The sequence below is a fragment of the Homo sapiens genome, chromosome 8 (assembly GCF_000001405.40).
Source record: "Homo sapiens chromosome 8, GRCh38.p14 Primary Assembly".
In the NCBI taxonomy this organism is placed as follows: domain Eukaryota; kingdom Metazoa; phylum Chordata; class Mammalia; order Primates; family Hominidae; genus Homo; species Homo sapiens.
The window spans coordinates 31,082,382-31,103,542 of record NC_000008.11 but is presented as its reverse complement, the minus strand read 5'-3'; the positions used below and the strand labels follow the sequence as shown (position 1 = coordinate 31,103,542).

At 34.2% G+C, this 21,161-nt stretch overlaps 1 protein-coding gene across 6 annotated transcripts in view; it reads right to left on the bottom strand.

The window, feature by feature from the left end:
• WRN (WRN RecQ like helicase) overlaps positions 1–21,161 on the bottom strand; it is a 142,329-nt gene that overhangs the window by 72,596 nt on the left and 48,572 nt on the right. For 4 of the 6 annotated variants that reach the window (XR_949472.4, XR_949471.4, XR_949470.4 and 1 more), the window contains exons 10-18: positions 19,764–19,844; positions 18,297–18,377; positions 15,623–15,767; positions 14,578–14,653; positions 13,011–13,078; positions 12,601–12,709; positions 11,645–11,713; positions 6,693–6,775; positions 2,588–2,694 (exon numbers count right to left, since the gene is read on the bottom strand). Coding sequence is in view for 3 of the 6 variants with exons in the window: in NM_000553.6 (NP_000544.2) it covers positions 2,588–2,694; positions 6,693–6,775; positions 11,645–11,713; positions 12,601–12,709; positions 13,011–13,078; positions 14,578–14,653; positions 15,623–15,767; positions 18,297–18,377; positions 19,764–19,844 (819 nt within the window). In the remaining 3 variants the exon portion in view is untranslated. Of the gene's footprint in view, positions 1–2,587; positions 2,695–6,692; positions 6,776–11,644; positions 11,714–12,600; positions 12,710–13,010; positions 13,079–14,577; positions 14,654–15,622; positions 15,768–18,296; positions 18,378–19,763; positions 19,845–21,161 lie in introns of those variants that run through there. The other 2 variants (XM_011544639.4, XM_011544640.2) reach the window with 2 other exon arrangements.

Here is a 21,161-nt window from a genome sequence, read left to right as displayed (position 1 = left end):
GCATTTCTGTCAATGACAGAGCACATGTGGAACAGTGGTCCCATAAGATTATAATGGAGCTGAAAAATTCCTATCACCAAGTGATGTCATAGCCAGCATAATGTCTTAGCACAAGGCACTGCTCACGTTTGTGGTGATGCTGCTGTCAATAAACCTACTGCACTACCAGGCATTAAAAAGTATAGCACATACAATTATATACAGTATATAACTTGATGAATAATAAACAAGTATGTTACTGGTTTACGTATTTACCTATACCCTTTTCCATTATTTTAGAGTATACTCCTCCTACGTATTCATTTTTTAAAGTTAACTGAAAAACAGCCTCAGGCAGGTCCTTCAGGAGGTATCTAGGAGAAGGCATTGTTATCACAGATGACAGCTCCATGAGTGTTACTGCCCCTAAAGAACTTCCAGTGGGATAAGACGTGGAGGTGGAAGACAGCAACATTGATGATCCTGACCCTGTGTAGGTCTAGTCTGATATGTGTGTATTTTAGTTTTTAACAAAAAAGTTTTAAAAATAAAAATAATAAAATTTTAAAATAAAGCCTTATGGAATGCATTAATCAAGGAAGAAAAAATTTTTGTACAGCTGTACAATGTGTTCATGTTTTAATCTAAGAATTATTACAAGAGTCCAAAGTCAAAAAATGTTTTAGGTTTATGAATTAAAGTTACAGTAAACTGAGATTAATTTATTATTGAAGAAAGAAAATTTTTAAAGAAAATTTTAAAAATTTAGTGTCGCCTAAGTGTACAATATGTATAAAGTCTACAGTAGTGTACAGTAATGTCCTAGGCCTTTACATTCACTCGCCACTCCCTCACTCACTCAGAGCAACTTCCAGTCCTACAAGCTCCATTCACAGGAAGCACCCTATACAGGTATACCATCTTTTATCTTTTATACTGTATTTTTACTGTGTCTTTTCTACATTAGATAAGTTTAGATACACAAATACTTACCATTGTATTACAATTGCCTGCAATATTCATTACAGTAACATCTGTACAGGTTTACAGCCTAGGAGCAATAGGCTCTATCATATAGCCTAGGTGTGCAGTAAGCTTTATCATGTAGGTTTGTGTAAGTCCATGTTCAGACAACCACAAAATGTCCTAAGAACACATTTCTCAGAACATATCCCTGTTGTTAGGCAACACATGACCACAAACAACTTGGATAGATCTCAAGGTAGTTATGTTGAGTGAAAAAAACTAATTCCAAAAGGTGACAAATTGCATGATTCCATGTATATAACATTCTTGAAATAATATTTTAGAGATAGAGACCAGATTTGTGGTTGCCAGTGGCTAGGGCCAGGGGTGGGAAGAACAGCTCCAGGGAGCTTTGTGGTAAGGGAACATTTGGCATCCTGACTGCAGTGGTAGTTACACAAATGTACATGAGATTAAACTGTATAGAACAATACACATGCCATACAAAAGAGTACTTACAAAACTAGAGAAATAGGAATAAACTCTAGATACTGTACAAATGTCATATTCCTAGTTTTGATATTGTACTATAGTCACACAAGATGTTACTGTTCAGGAAACTGGATGAAAGGTACATAGGACCTCTATATAGGTATTTTTTTTTTTACAACTTCTTGTGAATCTACAATTTTCAAAATAAAAAATAAAACAGTGCTATTATTGTGGGTTTTTAAACCATTCATGTAAATATGCCAATCATGTAGAATATTCATGTAAAAATTCACTTTTTTTTTTTTTTTTTTTTTTTTTGAGACAGAGTTTCGCTCTTGTTGCCCAGGCTGGAGTGGAATGGCACAATCTCGGCTCACTGCAACCTCCACCTCCCGAGTTCAAGCAATTCCCCTGCCTCAGCCTCCCAAGTAGCTGGGATTACAGGCACCTGCCACCACGCCCAGCTAATTGTTGTATTTTTAGTAGAGACAGGGTTTCACCATGTTGACCAGGCTGGTCTCGAACTCCTGACCTCAGGTGATCCACCCACCTCGGCCTCCCAAAGTGCTGGGACTACAGGCGTGAGCCACCATGCCCGGCCAAAATTTGCTATTTTTTATAATTAGGGAAGAAAGGGAAATTCTAATACCAAAAGCTTTAATAAAATTTCTATAGAATAGTTCAAACTTTAGGTTTTCAATGTGATACAAGAAGGGGTAACCAGGATTTCACAGCATCCTAGAGTAAAAGGACATACGGATGAAAGATCACTGAGAAGACATTCGGACAAATATGGCCCACAGCCTGTTTTGTTATGGCCCACCAGTGAAAAATGTAACTCTTTATATTTTTAAAGGGTTACTAAAAGAAAAAACAGAGAGAGGAATATGTGATACAGACTACATGTGGCCTATAAAGCTTGAAATATTTATTATCTGGTCCTTTCAGAAAAGGTTTGTCAAGCCTTGTTCTATTATATTCCTCAATAGATTATATACCAACTTTAGCATTTTTAAAAAAATAGTTCTCTTTTTACATTATCCATTTGCTCTTTTATAGTGAAGTCTTCAGCTTCTTTACCACTCCCCAATCCTGAATGCTCTCCTTATTAAGAATGTAATTTCGGGACATCAGACTTGGCAAAGCTTACCATTGGCAGTGCTGTCTTTAGGGAGCCCAACTTCCTGAATGAATCCCTAAAATCATGCCCCCACTCAGAAATACAGTGAGCCTCATCCACAGCAATGAGCGTGATACCTGTAAAAAAAGAAAAACACATAAAGGAAAAGATAAAGCTCGAAAGGAAAAAATAAACTCATCTACATCTCCAAAGGAGAATAAATAACCAAATCAAAGTATTTGGTTCCTATAAAAACAGAAGCATAAATATCATCATATTAACACCAAAAATCATTATTGGAAATAGGGAGAGGGGAGATATATGAATAAAAGCCTTAAGAATTTTAAAAGGAAATATTTATGTATTAATCCAAACAAGACATTTATTGGATCTCAGCTTTCATCACTATTCCTTGGAGAGATGAATTGCTTACTGTGACTTTGCCTCCAAAACTATCCACCTGCATTTCTCCTTGGTAATACCTTCAATTTTATCTCATGCATTAGCTATTAAAAGAGATAAAAAGAGTCAGCAAATTTCTACTGAAATTAACTGCATCGCCATCCATGATTGATCACATATCATATTGCAAAGAGTCCTCTGAAATGCCAGTACTAGAGCACAGGAGGACAGCCACATTTTCTAATGTAAAATGGTATGGGAGGAGCTAAATCACATGATGCACAAAGTAGTAAGAAGAAATGTTATTTGTTCTTTCTTCCTGTAGTAGCCTCTCTACTCCGCCCCCATACCAGACACAAACATTGAAACGGAATCAATAGTGTGTTGTAATGCATGTCAGAAAAGGATGTTATTGTAAAATCATCCGTGACAATGTTTTCAGATTTTTCACAGTAGTAACAGTAGTGCTTTTGTCCTCAATTAACAAATTGATACTTAAGAATAATTTTTTCCCTCAATGAGTATCATCATTCTTTGATACTTCTCTGAGCATTAATAATGTTCGGACACTAGGAGGAGGATGATTAAAAAGCTCTAAAGTCAGACTGCCCAGATGCAGAACCTGGCTCCACCATCTGCCATGTGTATTACCTTAAGCAAGTTACTTAAGCTTTCCAAGTCTCAGTCCTCTCACAAGTAAAATGTGGATAATAATGGTACCTAACATTTTCTAGATGCTCTAAAAATTAAATTATATCATTCACATAAAATGCTAAAATAGGGCCTGGCACACACACACAAAAATGCTACTACTCCTATTATGGTTAATAAATATCTATTATTATCCAAACACTTTTCTAGGAATAAAAAGACTAATAAAATACAATCCATGACCTGAGGAGTTCACAATTCTAAAAGAGGAGACAGACATGCAAATAAACAATTACAATTCACTAACATTACAAGCTACAACAGTCCTAAGAGAGTGTGGAGAAGAAAGACAAAAAAAAAAAACAAACAAACAAACAAAAAAAAAACCTACTAAACATGGGGTCAAAGTCAGTTATTTGTATCAAAATTCTCTGGGTACTACTGAGTGGCTGGAAAAAATTCAATATTATCACTGTTTTGGCTTTTGAAACTAAACCTGAGTGAGTGACTGATTTTTCCTTCCTTCCTTCCTTCCTTCCTTCCTTCCTTTTCTTAGGCTAAAGTGCAGTGGCGCAATCTCGGCTCACTGCAAGCTCTGCCTCCCGGGTTCATGCCATTCTCCTGCCTTACCCTCCCCAGTAGCTGGGACTACAGGCACCCACCACCATGCCCGGCTAATTTTTTCTTTTTGTATTTTTAGTAGAGACAGGGTTTCACCATGTTCGCCAGGATGGTCTCGATCTCCTGACCTCATGATCCACCCGCCTCGGCCTCCCAAAGTGCTGGGATTACAGGTGTGAGCCACCACTCCCAGCCCCTTCCTTCCTTTCTCCCTTCCTTCCTTCTCTCTCTCTCTCTTTCTTTCTTTCATAACTAGCACTGTAACAGGTACCATGCTCAGCTCATTTTTTTTTTTCAGAGATGGGGTCTCACTGTGTTGCCCAGGCTGGTCTCGAACTCCTGGGTTCAAGCAATACTCCTACTTCAGCCCAGATTTTAAATTAAATAGGTTAAAACAGAATGATGGTCTCTTTTAAAACTTTCATTTTTTAAAAAGCTTTAGTTACAGGTTTGACAAACTAGCTTTTAATGGAGCTAAACCTTATCCCTGGAAATCAGTTTAGACAAGCTTTTGCCAACATTCACTTAAGTTAAAAGTCTGGTTGGTAAGGAGCCTCCCTATAAAACTATGTTTGCTGTTTCTGTTAAAAATCCAGACTACTTAAGTAATTTAACATTTACCTAAAAATGAGGAATCTGATTAGCTAAATGTCAGACTGCTGTACAAATAATATCCTGCGTATATTCATTTTTGCAAGCATTGTACAATTTCCCGCAACAAAAGGCAAAGGAAAATATTTCAAAAATAATTTTTATTTCATGTATCCCTTTTTATTCAACACTGAGTCAACCAGAGAACATTTTCATCCATCATAAGCAAAGTACGCTGCTCTAATAATTGCAGTGTCCATAACTCATCCATTACAAAAAAACAAAAATAGAGAGTTCTAACTACTTGTCAGAAGTATTAAGTATTTGCTTAAATACTTAAGCTTATTATTCATTTAACACTATCACAGAAACAAAGCAAATAGTAAAAACGTACCCAAACCACTATGGACATAGACCCCAGCTTTTGCAATACAACCATGAAATTTATATATAGGGTAGTTATTCTTAATCCAAAGTGAAATATTCACAATAACTTCATACAACCTATTAGGAAACATATCAAATTCATTGTCCATTAAAGGCAAAAAATACAGTATGTCAATAAGGGAGTTTAAGAGCTCATAAATGTACTCATTGCTAATATATTTAATGAAATGTTAATTGCTGCCCTCATTCTTTTGTTGGTTTTAACACATAATAAAAAAGATACAAGTTTGTTTTCATTACATTGTTGGAAAAATTATCAAATGCTTTCCTACAGTTATATGAAAGTAACCATTAAATGAGACGTTGCAATTCGAAAACCTAACCTATCTGGAATTATTTGAATACATAATTATACAAAAAGATCATATGATATTGAAAAATTAAATTTGGTTAGGCCAACTGAAGGTGGGAAATAGGGGCATTTGCAATAGAAGCCATGATTGCAATTCTTGGATAGTTAAGCCTAACCACCAAGAAGAAAAAAAAATTTTTTTTGAGGCATGGTCTCGCTCTGTTGCCCAGGATGGAGTGCAGTAGCATGATCTTGGCTCACCGCAGCCTTCATCTCCCAGGCTCAAACAATCCTCCTACCTCAGCCTCCCAAGTAGCTTGGACTATGGGCATGCACCACCAGGCTCGGCCAATTTTTTAAAAAATTATTTGTAGAGATGAGGTCTCACTATACTGAGGCTTAAAATATTTTTAAGTACAAAAAAAGTGCTATCAGCTTTTGACTAATTCTATATTTACACGTTCTAGGAAATAAACTGTGACTTATCTAAGTTTTTGGTTTTTGTAATAAATCATACTCACTAGTGGCAACTAATCAAAGGTACTGTGGTTTCCAACCCGGGCTATATATCAGAATCACCTGTGAGAAACCACCAATGCCAGGTGCCAACCCAGGCCTGTTAAATCAGAATTTTCAGAGTTGGGTGTTGGTTACCTACATTTTTTTTAAAGTTTGAAAAGTGATTCTTATGAACAAAGAGGGTACAAAACCACTACACTGACTTAATTTAGATACAGAACATGAAAAACAAGTAAATTAAAATTTCACAGAACCTAGGATTCAACATTCATTCAACAATATGTTTAAGTGCCTATATGCCAAGCACTGCACTGGGGAAACATAAATTTTAAAAAGTGATATTTTTCCCTTGAAAAGTTTATAGCCTAGCAGAAGAAAACAGATATATAAACAGGTAATTATGATAACAGAGCCTAATTTCTATAGCAAAAGGAATTATAGAGTATCATGGGATAAGATAGGTGAAACAGCAAGTTAGAGAGTCAGAGATTTCCTGGAGGAAGTAATGTTTGAAATAAACTTTAACAGAAGTGAAATCCAGTGTCCATCCATAGGTTTAACTTTAAATATTAACTCAGTAAGTATTTACAGAGATCTTTCTTTATCACTTACCAATATCAGCCTCAAGTTGCTGGAGCAGGCCCATGTTACCTGAACAGTATTCTGGAGTTACGTATACAATCCGGTATTTACCTCTGTAAAAACAAACAAAAGAAAAAAGAAAAAAAAAAAAACAGGAAGGGAAACATATTAACAATAAAGAAAACAATCATCTCAAGGAATTACAACTTAAAATCAAGATACCTTATGAAAGTTTAAATAATACTTTATGTCACGAAAATCTAAAAGAATGCTATATATATGCAGAGAATGCTTATCTCTTCAGAGAGAAAAATGAGGAAGACTCACTAAAGACTACAGATAAAAAGAAAGACCTATTGTATTTTCCAAACCCAATTCCAGTCTCTTCCTAAGGGCTGGCTAATTTCTTTTGAGTGGGATCTATGAGACATTCCTTTATCCTTAATATAAATTTCAATATACACTCATGCTAGCTTGAGTTAATTTCTATTCTGGGTAGACAGAATCCTAATTAAGACAATGTTTGTAATAAAGCTAGGTCTGGGGCAAAATATTTACAGAGTCTGCTCTCCATTCTATGAAATGAAAACCTAGATCAAGTCAAATGTAATGAAACTTAATTTTCTATATGGAAAGACTTTAAAAGCATTCACCTGTCCATTCAACAGATAAGTTTAAGTGTCTATTGTGCGCTAGGCATTGTGCTTTCACAAGGAATCAAATAGGAACAAAACAGATATGCCTTTACCTTTATGAAATTAATATTGTATTCTAATTAACATAGGAAATGGTATAAAGAATAAGCTCTGATGTCAAACAGCCCAGTTCTACTTCTTACAAGGTAAGTGATGTTAGCCAAGTTACTTTAGTATGCCTAGTTTCTTCGGTATAAAACGGTGACAATAACTATCAAGACAGCTAATTGTTTCGATATCTAGATTCAAGGTAAACTCATTCAAAATCCCAGCAGGCATATGGGTTGAAAAGGTGATGCTGACATGCTCACAGAAATACAAAGGACATAGAATAGCCAGAACAACTTTGAAAGAAAAGAGCAAAGCAAGAGGCCTTGCGCTACCTGATTTCCAGGTTTATTATAAAGCTACAGTAATCAAGACACCAATCAAGACAGACAAATAGATCCACAGAACACAGAATAGAGAGTGCAGCAATAGACCCACATATATGTAGTCAATTTATTTTTGACAAAGGTACAAAGTCAATTCAGTGTAAAAGCATAGTCTTTTTAAAAAATGGAGCTGGAACAATATGTGAAAAATACATAAACTGTAATCAATACCTCATACAATAGACAACATTTACTAAAAATGAATCGTAAATCTAAATGTAAAACTTAAAACTATAAAACTTTTAGGAGAAAACATAAAAGCAAATCTTTGTGACCTTGGGTCAAAACACTAAAAGCAAAATCCCTAAAAGAACGAATCGACAAACTGGACTTTATCAAAATGAAAAACTGCTGCTCTTCAAAAGAACTGTGTGGAAAGTATGAAAAGCCATAAACTAGGAGAAAATGTTTGCAAAGCATATATCAAATAAATAATTTATATTCAGAATATAGAAATGACTATCAAAACTCACTAAGAAAAAATAGGCAAAAGATTTGAACAGATACTCCCTCAAAGAAGATATACAGATGGCCAATAAGTGTATGAAAAATGCTCAATATAATTAGTCATTAGGGAAAAGCAAACTAAAAATACAATGAGATACTATTAGAATGGCTTAAGTTAAAGATCAGCCAGACTAAGTGATAGCAAGGATGGGGAGGAACTGGACCTCTCATACACTGCTGGTGGGAATATCCCATGATACAATCACTCTCAAAAGCTTCATAGTTTCTTAAAAAATTAGCATATAGCCCAGCAATTCCACTCTTAGGCATATATGCAAAAGCGTTGAAAATGTATGTTCATAAAAAAATTGGTACACAAATGTTCACAGCATCATTATTCATAACAGCCAAAAAGGAAACAACCCAAATGTCCATCACTGATGAATGAATTTTTAAAATGTGTATGCCCATACTATGGAATATTATTCAGTCATAAAAAAAGACCGAATGAAGTACTGATATCACTATGCTAAGTGGAAGATGCCAGACACAAAAGGCCATATAATGTATAAGTTAATTTATAGAAACATCCAGAATAGGCAAATCATAGAGACAGAAAGTAGATTAGTGGTTGGAAGTGGGCAGAACAGAGATAATAGGCCGGGCAGAGTGGCTCACGCCTGTAATCCCAGCATTTTGGAAGGCTGAGGTGGGACAATTACTTGAGCCCAGGAGTTTGAGAGCAACCTGGGCAACATAGCAAAATCTCATCTCCACTCAAAATAAAACAAATTAGCCAGGTATGGTAACATATGCCTACAGTCCCAGCTACTCAGGAGACTGAGGTGGGAGGATCAATTGAGCCCAGGAAATCAAGGATGCAGTGAACCAAGATCATGCAAGTGCACTCCAGCCCGGGAGACAGAGGGAGACCCTGACTCAAAAAAAAAAAAAAAGAAAGAAAAGAAAAGGGAAAATAGGGAATGACTCCTTAATGGGTATGGAATTTCTTTTGGGAGTTAGGAAAATGTTCTGGAATTAATTATGATGGTTATATATTATTACTATACCAAAACCCACTGGACTTTAGTAATGATTAAAATGGTAAAAGTTATGTTCTGTGAATTTTATCTCAATTAGAAAAAAGAAAGTTAAACATATATGCATCACATGTTCCAGTCATTCCGCTCCGTCATATATAATAAAATGAAAACATATGTCCATACAAAGACTTACATACGAATGTTCATAGCAGTTTTATTTGTAATAACCCAAAACTGGAAACGATCCAAATGTCTATCAGGTGAATGGATAAACAACTTGTTGGATATCCATAAAATGTAATCCACTTAACAATAAGAGGAATGAACTATTAATCACTGTAATAACATGAATGAATCTCAAAATAATTATACTGCATTATTTAAATCAGACAAAAAAGAGCACATAAAATATGAATGACTCCATGTATATAAGTTTAGAAAATGCAAACTAGTCTACAGTAACAGGAAGGAGCTCAGCAGTTACCCGGTGACTGGGGTTAAAACAAAAAGGTAAACTTTGTGGGTGATGAATATGTTCATTATCTGGATTGTGATGATGGTTTCATGAGTGCATACCTGTGTCAAAACTTATCAAATTATACATTCTCAGCATATAAAATTTATTGTAAGTCAATTACACCTCAATAAAGGTGATTTAAAATGCTTAGAAAAAAAGAAAACATGTTCACAAAAAAGATTTTTATAAGGATGTGTATAGCAGCTTTATTAGTAACAGTCCAAAACCAGAAAAATAGCCTAGGTGTCTATCAATAAGAAAATGTAAAAACAAACTGTGCTATATTCAATGAAATACAATAAAATAATAATCAGATATTAAAACAACAACAACAACAACAACTGCATCAGGTGCGGTGGTTCACGCCTGTAATCCCGGCACTTTGGAAAGCCAAGGCAGGAGGATCGCCTTCTAATTTTATCTCAGAAAAAAGAAAGTTAAACATATATCCACCACACGATCCAGTCATCCCACTCCTTGACATGTATCAATAAAATGAAACCATATGTCCATACAAAGACTTATATGTGTCTCAGCTTTATTTGTAATAATCCAAAACTGGAAACAATCCTGACGCCAGGAGTTCAAGACCAGCCTGGGCAACCAAGCAAGATCCTGTCTCTACAAAAAATTTAATAATTAGCCAGGCATGGTGGAACATACCTGCAGCCTAGCCTACTTGAGAGGCAGGAGGATAGCTTGAGCCCAGTAGTTAGAGGCTGCAGTAAGCTATGATTGCGCCACTGTACTCTAGCCTGGGTGACAGAAGGAGACCCTGACTCTGAAAAAACAAAAACAAAACAAAACAAAACAAAAAACTACTGATACATGCAACAGCATGAAAGAATCTCAGAAACATTACAGCAAATGAAAGAAGTCTTACACAAAAGAGTTAATATTGTGTGACTGCATTTATATGGCATTCTACCAAACTATGGTAGAGAAAATCGGAGCAGTGGCTTGCCTAGGATGGAGGATGGAAGGACAGACTGGGGAGGGACATGAAGAAACTTTCTAGAGTGTCAGTGATATTCTGTATCTTGTTAGAGGTTTGGTTTACATCTTTGTATGCATTTATCAAAACTCAGTAAATATATGTGTATCTCGTGTGTATGTATATACTAATATATACGTAAAGAAAGCAACTGCTTAATGGGCAGGGGTGTTCTTTTGGGAGTGATGAAAATGTTCTGAATTAGAACATGCATATATATGCATATATATTAATATATGTGTGTGTATGTATATATAAGTGTACATATGTTTGTGTGTGTGTGTACATATACACACACACACACACACACAAAATGGGTGTGTGTATGTGTATCTGAGATGACATTCTCCTTAGGAATTACATCATGATAGAATTGGTTGGGCAAGAGACCTAGAATCCAGTCCCTGCTCAGCCAGTCATTGTGTGATTTTGGGCAAATTACTTGTCTCTGAGCCTCAGTTTTCTCATCTATAAAATGAGACAAATCTTTATATTCTCCAACTTCTCTTCCAAAACCAAAATTTTTATAATTCTATGAGTACAATGCTAATCTTATAGCCCAAGAACCGAGAATAACAGATTTCTTCAAGTTTGAAGGATTTAAAAAGTAACAGTCCTGCAAAGGTACAAAAGAAAGTGCATTTTAAAATCATGGACTTTTTTTTTCATGCATTTAGTAAAATTTGTTTGTATACAAAATTCTCTCATATACCACAGACATCTGACCACATGATTAGAAATGACATAAATTACTCACAACTTCCTCAGCAACATGTAATTCACCCACGTAACAAACTTGCATATGCACCCCCATAAATCCAAAATAAAAGTTGAGGGAAAAAAATTACTCACAATTTAATATCTGTTAGAACATTTTCTGACTGTGCTGATCCAAGGAAGCAAGCTGGGATGTTGGACATTCTATAAGAAGAAAAACAAATATTCTGGCACCATGTACACATTACACATATCAATTTCACTCTTAAGTGAGAAAGAATAAAGAAATATAATAATTTATATTCCTGTTCTTTGCAATTTTCTTTTTTGTCACTTACTAACTTGATAAGCAAATTCCTTCAAGGGCCTTATCAGAATGCAAGTTTTTAAGGTGGGTCTTTGAAAGAGACTGCAAGCTCAGGGCAGCAGGGGATGACAGGGGGTAAAGGAATAGGTTGCTAGAACCTATTCCTTCTAACTGTATGTTTGTACTCATTAACCAACAGTAGGGTAACTATAGTTAACAACAACACTGTGTATTTCAAAATAACTCAAAGAAAAGATTAGAAATGTTCCCAGCACAAAGAAATGATAAATGTTCAAGTTGATGAACAAATGCCCTGATTTGATCAAGTGTATTTGATATGAGTGTATCAAAATACTACAGTACCCCATGAATATGTAAAGATATTATGTATCAATTTAAAACAGATTGCAAGCTCAGGTTGAAGAAGCTGAAAAGTGTTTCATAGATAAAAAATATACTTCCATGTATACACTTCTTATCAAGCTAAAAAGCAAGGGTAACAAAAAGAGAAAAGAATTTTGAGATATTCAATGTAAACCAGCATAAAGTAATAATGTTTTTTAAAAAAATTTTATCAGGGCCACCTGGTAGCTTTGAATTACAGAGAACACAAGAAAGAAGGTAAGCTCTTCCACTAAAGGGTCATTTATTACCAATAAAGATAAAGCAATACCTGCAGAAATGTGTTATTGTGAACTAGATTTTAACATGCATGATGGATCAGATGTTTCACCCACAGAAGAAAAAAAGAGGGTGATATTGTGGCAATGATAACATGACTTACTTAAGCTGTAGCACTTGGTCTTCCATCAGAGAAATAAGGGGAGAGATAACAAGGCCAATCTTGCCTACATAAACAGGTGGATACTGGAAGCACAAACTCTTTCCATATCCTTGAAATGAAAAAAATATAAAAATAAAATGAAAAAAATATAGAAATAAAAATAAACCTTTGATGCTTTCATTTCTTTTTACAATGTACTTATACAGATGAATGGTCAATACTAGTATGCTATCTTCCTAAAAGCTAATTGATACATAAATCTGAGCATCTGTTCTTTGTTCACTCTCTTCTATAGTTTACATCATTTGTAGTTGCATTTGTATTTTGAGAGTTTAATGAAAGATTAAGCATTTCAAACTCTTTATGTTTTATTTTTTTAAAGGATTAGGTTTTGCTTAAGTACAACTTACCAGTTGCCATGACAGCAACATTATCTCTTCTTTCTTCTAATACTGAATGAATCACTTTCCACTGAACTCTTGAAGGTGAAAAGCAAAAAGCTATTTTGTTTTATTAATAAGAAACCCAAGGTACAAATTAAAATCCATTCAATTTTTCATTTCCTCTCATAGAATTTATTTTCAAACTTCATACATAAATGCACAAACCTGGAACTTTAAAACAAACAATGCCATTTGACCAATGTCCCATTCAAGCTAACTAACAACTACCATTTGGTATATATATTAAATTTCACTACATACATCTAAAGTAAAAAACAGATTCTAAGCTTCATACTAGATATCCAAAAGAATCAATACTTTAAAATAATAAGAGAAATGCTCAGGGACAAGGACTGACTGAAAAGGGAAATAAGGGAACTCTGTGTGGTGATGATAATAATATCTCTTGATAAGAATTTGGGTTACATGGGTATGCACATGTATATTTAAAATTTGCAAATGTACACTTAAAGTTTTATATTTCCTTACGTGCAAATTTTACACCAAAGAAAAAACTGTTAAGTAAATATTTAACTCGTTAATAATTTACATGCTGAAATACTTAGGTGGAAGTGTAATGGTGTCCTCGATTGACCCTGAGATGCATTTTAAAACTGGAATGAATGAATGGATGGATAGAGACATATGAATGGATGGATATGTGATAAAGCAAGTATAGTAATGATAGTTGAATTTAGGTGGTGGGAATACAGACATGCACAGAAAAAAGTTCTTTCAACTTTACTACATCTTAGAAAATTTTCTTAATAAAATATCATGGGAAAAATCAATTGGAGAGGTGGTCTTCTGGCATGCTGTTACTGACCTATTCTTAACTAAGTGCTGGCCACAGGGTGCCCAGTTTATGACAATTCATTGATCTCTACAACATGTGCACTTTTCTGTATGTAAGACATAAATAAAAAATGTTTAAGATCAAAAGAAAAAAGGAAAGAAATACTTCAGTGGATTATATTTTAAATTCTCAGAATAGGAAAAATCCAGTCTAGATTTTCACAGGCTTATTAGTTTTATTCACATTTACTTGTTCATCTCATTCTTATTCATCTCATTTAATCCTCACAAAAATGTGCCTGTTAGATGTAAACAAATTTTGAGTACATTAAAATAGATAAGATTATCACTATTCCTCAAATTGTTGTATTAAGAACTTCTAGTACATCTGCATGTTCTGGGTAATATACACAAAACAGGCACATAGACACTCGTTTAATGAAAAACAAGTCAGTATTAAATTAACATTTATTTATAAGTATCTTTAAACTAGTTTCTACTCAGAACTGCTCAGTTAAAGGAAAACCATTTTTCCTCACTTATAAAAACAATTTGCAGAAATGAATTTTATATAAATATCACTTTGAAATAATTTTGTAGTCACACAGAAAATACAGTGTGGCATGTATAACTATAGTGAAGTTGTGCTGTTGCTGTTAAGCAGACAGGTTATTTGCCTTTTCCCTTGTTTTAAAGAGAATACTAAATATGTGATTTGATTAAATGAGATTATACTCACGGTTTAAAACTGGAATGGCCAAAGTACATCTTGAGGCAAGTAACTTGCTCTTCATTGGGTGCTGGCCACAAAAAGTCTGGAAATAAAATAAAATGTGCATTTATGTTCAAGTAGAAAAACACCACATAGAGGGAGAAAACAGTTTATTTCATTGGCTTCTTTGAAAGAATACAGTGACAGCTACCATGGGTTAATGTTTTCTATTTTTTAATTCCAATACAAACTGGTCTTCTGGGTACCATCTGTGACACTTGGATTACTTTTAAGTATTAGAATTTTGTTGTGATTCACACTTTGCCAGGACTATTAAAAAAAACTGATGTTTTAGAATCAGGAATACTTCTAAAGGCTAACATTTAGAACAAACCATGGCAAGCAATATACCAATCCAAATGTTATAATATAACCAACCTTCAATTAATGGTAATCAGAAATTACATTAGTCCCGCACTAAAAAAATCCACAGATAAAATAAAATCTTCGTTTTAGTTACCTAAAGCTAAATGTAGTTACACCAAAATTTAGTTACGAAAATCTCGTTTAGTTTAGTTACCTAAATGTCATTTAGTTAGGAAAAGTTAGTTACCCACATCTTTGGTCAAAATTCTAACTGCACAGCACAATGAAGTTATGTTAGCTCTACCCAAGTCACTTTCCCTGTCCACAGTGAGCTTGAAAGATTCCTGAGTGGCCAAGAAAGGGCAAAACAAAGAATCAAGATAATTAACCACTAAACAATAAAAGTTCATTGTTAGAGTTCTCAGCTTTAATAATTCTAAATGAGAGCTATAATGATTTGGAGAAATACAAAAAAACAAAGGGAAAGATATTTTTATCATCATAATGCTATTACTCTATTTTTCTAAGTAGTAAGATTGTGCTTTATGGAGACAAAAGCACTAAGGAGACAAAAGCTTATAAGGATCCAATAATTAACTATATGCCACAAAGTCCCTGACCTCCAAACCATCCAAAACTGGATCCTAAGTTAAAGTCAGTGGTAGGTATCACAGGTGAGTCATTTCAAACATACTTCAGTGCTTACCCTTATCATCATCTTCTTCCCCTTCATTAGCTTCATTTTCATCATCTTCTTCTTCTTCTTTAGTAGGAAGACCCAGATTTCTTTCCATTTTTAAGCATTTAGAATGAGTTGGTTCTACCGTGCCACTATTGAGGTTTTCTAAAGACTGAAAGTTTAAAAGAAATCTTAAAAGCAAAACCACTGACAGTGTCGTATCTTTTTCACCAAACACAAAAGGACTATTATTAACAGGGCCTACAATTTTGTCGAAAGCTGGCAGATGTGCAAGCCATACTACAAAAGAACATGTGTGCTCCGGTTTAAATATGTGCTCATGAATGGTTTCTAAGGCGCAAGGCCAAAGATGGAACATTTCCAGCATAAACAAGGCTCATTAATAGCATATAATAAACTGCCCCTGGGGAAAGCTATCATAAATTTTAAATTTGGATAATTTAAAACATTTTATTCTTTATTGCACCTCAATATTTTCGATTCTCAAGTAGTAAACGTGGATTTTAATGTTATTTTTGGAACAAGTTTCTCTATATCATGTGTCAGTCGCATTCTTTCTGAATAAGGCTGAAACTATGAGCAAACAATAAATGTGTTTTGGAATTGTCAAAACAACAAAAGATTCAAATCATTTTAGAAAAGGAATTTTACAAACATGAAATAAAGTTATTTGTTTTTATTTTGGCTTGACAGTATCTGACATTCTCCCCTAAATAAAGATTATCTATTTCAAGAATATTTCAAAATTGTTTCATCTATAACATTTTTTAACTATGAAGAGACAGGAAGACTTTATTAAACTACAGTTTTTACTTTCTCTTTTTATTAAATCTTTTATTTAATATTTTCATTTTGAAGGTTTTTTTTTAAAAAAAAGTATGTTCATTTCAAGCCTGAAGGCAGAAGAAAGAAGTGTTTCTGTTTGTTTTATTTTATTCAAGTCCACAAACATACTTAGAATGCATGTTTAAAATAGAGTTCTCTAATATGGGCATCCAGGTTGCCTTCTAAGAGATTTAATGTATACGTTTGTAGACGTCCACAAGTTTCCTATAAATGTACTATTGGAACAGTACTTCTCAGAGAAATGGATAATTAATAACAAAATACAATTCAGTATTTATGTTCTAGTTTTACTGTTAGCTAATATGTATTAAACACTTACTAAATGTCAGGCTCTATACTAAGCTCTTCTCAAGCAATACCTTAAATAATAATTACAACTGTTAACCGAGTATCAAAGATGCTAAGAAACTTCCCCAAAGTCACACAGATACTAACTGGAAAAGCTGGGATACAAACCTACATCTGAATTCACAATCTACTTTTTTTTTTTTAATTTTTTAATTGAGACAGGGTCTCACTCTGTCACCCAGGCTAGAGTGCAGTGGCATGGTCATGGCTAACTGCAGCCTCAACCTCCCCAGGCTCCCCAGGTGATCCTCCCACCTCAGCCTCCCAAGTAGCTGGGACTAAAGGCACATGCCACCACACCCAGCCAATTCTTGTATTTTTCTGGAGAGAGAGGGTTTTGCCATGTTGCCCAGGTTGGTCTCAAACTCCTGGAATGAAGTGATCCTCCTGCCTCGGCCTCCCAAAGTGCTGAGATTACATGAGTGAGCCACCATGCCTGGCCCTAGAATATACATTCTTACTCACTACTCATTACTTGGCCTCAAAACTAAAAAAGTCAATAAATTAATCTCATTTCATAAAAATAAAAAAATCTCATCAACCTAAAGATTAGGAATAAAAAAATGCATAATGGGGAACTTCTGTGTTTTTCTTCATTTTTTACTTAATTTAGCTACATTGGCTTTTCTTATTATACATCTTTGGTTAGTAACACCTGACAAAGAAATTAGAGGTAAAGGAATAGAAAATATATAAATTATAAACTAGTATTTTCAATCTCAATAATAAGAGTAAAACTGAACCATTTAATCCATTTGAAAATTATATAATATAAAATATCCATAGTAAATAATACCAAAGAAAGTAAAGATGATTATTGAATGTATAAAAACAAAACTTCCAAATAAAAATGGATACACATGAATTGGAAGAAAGGAAACTCAATTTCAATACTGGAGAGCCAAATCACTACCCATATTCCAGGAAAAAATTACAAGAAAGTAACACAAGAAGGAACACAGGGCTGGATGCGGCGGCTCACACCTGCAATCCCCAGCACGCTGGGAGGCTGAGGCCAGTAGATCACTTGAGCCCAGGAGTTTAAGACCATCCTGGGCAACATGGTGAAACCCCATCTCTACAAAAAATACAAAAATAAGCCGGGTATGGTGGCACACGCCTGTAATCCCAGCTACTCAGGAGGCTCATGCAGGAGAATCACTTCAGCCCTGGAGGTGAAGGTTGCAGTGAGCCAAGATGGCACCACTACACCCCAGCCTGGGTGACAGAGTGAGACCCTGTCTCAAAATAAAAAAAAAAAAAAGAAGGAACAAAGAAAGCACAATTAAAATTAGTATATTACCTCTAACCCATTATTCATAGACTACATAAAAGAAACATGAATTGGAAAATGTGAAATCTAATGTTACATAATTAGTAGCAATTTCATTGTGGTGGAACCTGGTTTAGAATTAGTTAATATTTTACTTAATTAAATGTCCTTTGGAAAGAACTTGAAGTAATGTTTTTATAATTGTAAACATACCTTAAGCATCTCCATTTCTAAATCTTCATCACTCTCAATTACATAGGACGTATCGTTTTCATTATCATTGGGAGATAAATGCTTTAAAAAAAAGTATTAAGCATTAATTTCCAATATAATTGACTTCATATCCTCTTTTCTGCAGAACAAAGCTCCTATATACTAGATATCTTTAGACAGCTTCCTCTTCCCTAATGGATATATAATATATATTTACATATTTATATGATAGATAAAAAAGGGAGAGAGAGAAGAATGAACAAAGAAACAAAGAACCAAAGAGAAAGAAAGAAATAGGAATACAAAGTTAGATAAAGAGACAAAATAAAATCCCTGCTCTAAACAAGAATACAAAATGACAAGTTCAACTCAGGTTAAACAATATCAAACTGTGTCTCCCAAACTTTTTGAGTATAAGAACTCTTCACAATGTTGAAAAATGCTGTACAAAGAACAATAGCTGTTTTTGACATCCACTGATTTTAAAAAGATTGCAAAAAACTACTGACTGTAATATCTTTAAATAAATCAGTATTTTACAAATAGCATTCTCTATATAATTGAAAAATAGTGTCAGAGATGTTATTTATTCAGTCTACTGCCAATGTTTGGGTATGAGGAAACTTTTCAATAATTTGGCAATCTCCAGGAACCAAGTGTCCAACAAGATGGGATCCCCCACAAAAATCCATAGAAAGAAAACCCTCAAAAAATGCCAAACATTTAAACAGAAAGTAGGAAAAGGAAGCACAGCCTTAATTAACCTGCAAAATTTAAGCAATAAAAAAATTGAAAATAAGCTTTTTACTAGGAAAAAAGTTCTTTTTTTAAAAAAAAGTTATTTTACTTCTTATTTAACGAATAAAGAAAACAATACTAATAATTGGTACCCAATAAAAAAATGGCAATAATTTGTGTAAAAGATGTCAGTCAAATCATGAAATCCAAGGCCAGGTGTGGTGGCTCACACCTGTAATCCCAGCACTTTGGGAGGCCAAGGCGGGTGGATTACTTGAGGTAAAGAGTTCGAGACCAGCAAGGACAACATGGTGAGACCCTGTCTCTACTAAAACTATAAAAATTAGCCGGGCATGGTGGTGCACGCCCATAATCCCAGCTACTCGGGAGGCTTATGCAGGAGGATCACTTGAGCCCAGGAGGTGAAGGTTGCAGTGAGCCGAGATGGAGCAACTGCACTCCAGCCTGGGTGATAGAGTGAGACCCTGTCTTCAAAATAAAAAATAAGAAGGAACAAGGAAAGCACATTTAAAATTAGTAAATTACCTCTAACCCATTATTTATAGACTACATGAAAGAAACATGAATTGGAAAATGTGAAATCTAATGTTACATAATTAGTAGCAATTTCATTGTGGTAGAACCTAGTTTAGAATTAGTTAATATTTTACTTAATTAAATGTCCTTTGGAAAGAACTTGAAGTAATATTTTTATAATTGTAAACATACCTTAAGCATCTCCATTTCTAAATCTTCATCACTCTCAATTACATAGGACGTATCGTTTTCATTATCATTGGGAGATAAATGCTTTAAAAAAAGTATTAAGCATTAATTTCCAATATAATTGACTTCATATCCTCTTTTCTGCAGAACAAAGCTCCTATATACTAGATATCTTTAGACAACTTCCTCTTCCCTAATGGATATATAATATATATTTACATATTTATATGATAGATAAAAAAGGGAGAGAGAGAAGAATGAACAAAGAAACAAAGAACCAAAGAGAAAGAAAGAAATAGTTAGGAATACAAAGTTAGATAAAGAGACAAAATAAAATCCCTGCTCTAAACAAGAATACAAAATGACAAGTTCAACTCAGGTTAAACAATGTCACACTGTGTCTCCCAAACTTTTTGAGTATAAGAACTCTTCACAATGTTGAAAAATGCCGTACAAAGAACAATAGTTGTTCCTTGACATCCACTGATTTAAAAAAGATTGCAAAAAACTACTATGATTGTAATATCTTTAAATAAATCAGTATTTTACAAAAAGCATTCTCTATATAATTGAAAAATAATGTCAGAGATGTTATTTATTCAGTCTATTGCCAATGTTTGGGTATGAGGAAACTTTTCAATAATTTGGCAATCTCCAGGAACCAAGTGTCCAACGAGATGGGATCCCCCACAAAAATCCATAGAAAGAAAACCCTCAAAAAATGCCAAATATTTAAACAGGAAGTAGGAAAAAGAAGTACAGCCTTAATTAACCTGCAAAATTTAAGCAATAAAAAAAATTGAAAATAAGCTTTGTACTAGGAAAAAAAGTTATTTTATTTTTTAAAAGTTCTTTTACTTCTTATTTAACGAATAAAGAAAGCAATACTAATAATTAGTACCCAATAAAAAAATGGCAATAATTGGTGTAAAAGATGTCAGTCAAATCACGAAATCCAAGGCCAGGTGCAGTGGCTCACACCTGTAATCCCAGCACTTTCTCTACTAAAAATACAAAAATTAGCCGGGTGTGGTGGCGGGCACCTGTAATCCCAGTGACTCGGGAGGCTGAGGTAGGAGAATCACTTGAACCGGGGAGGCAGAGGTTGTAGTGAGCCAAGACTGCGCCACGGCACTCCAGCTTGGGCGACAGAGATAGATTCCATCTCAAAAAAAAAAAATCATGAAATCCTGATAATCCTATAATATTATATGAAACATATCACTTAAAGTGTATACCTAATAAGAAATTCCTAGAAAATCAAAGGGAAATGCAGATGTTAGCAAAAACTGATATTTCCCAGAAGGGGAACATCTTTTATGAATGGTTGGTATGAGAATATTTTGAAAACCATTTTAAAATGAAATGCATGTTTATACTGATAAAAGTGATTACTAATAG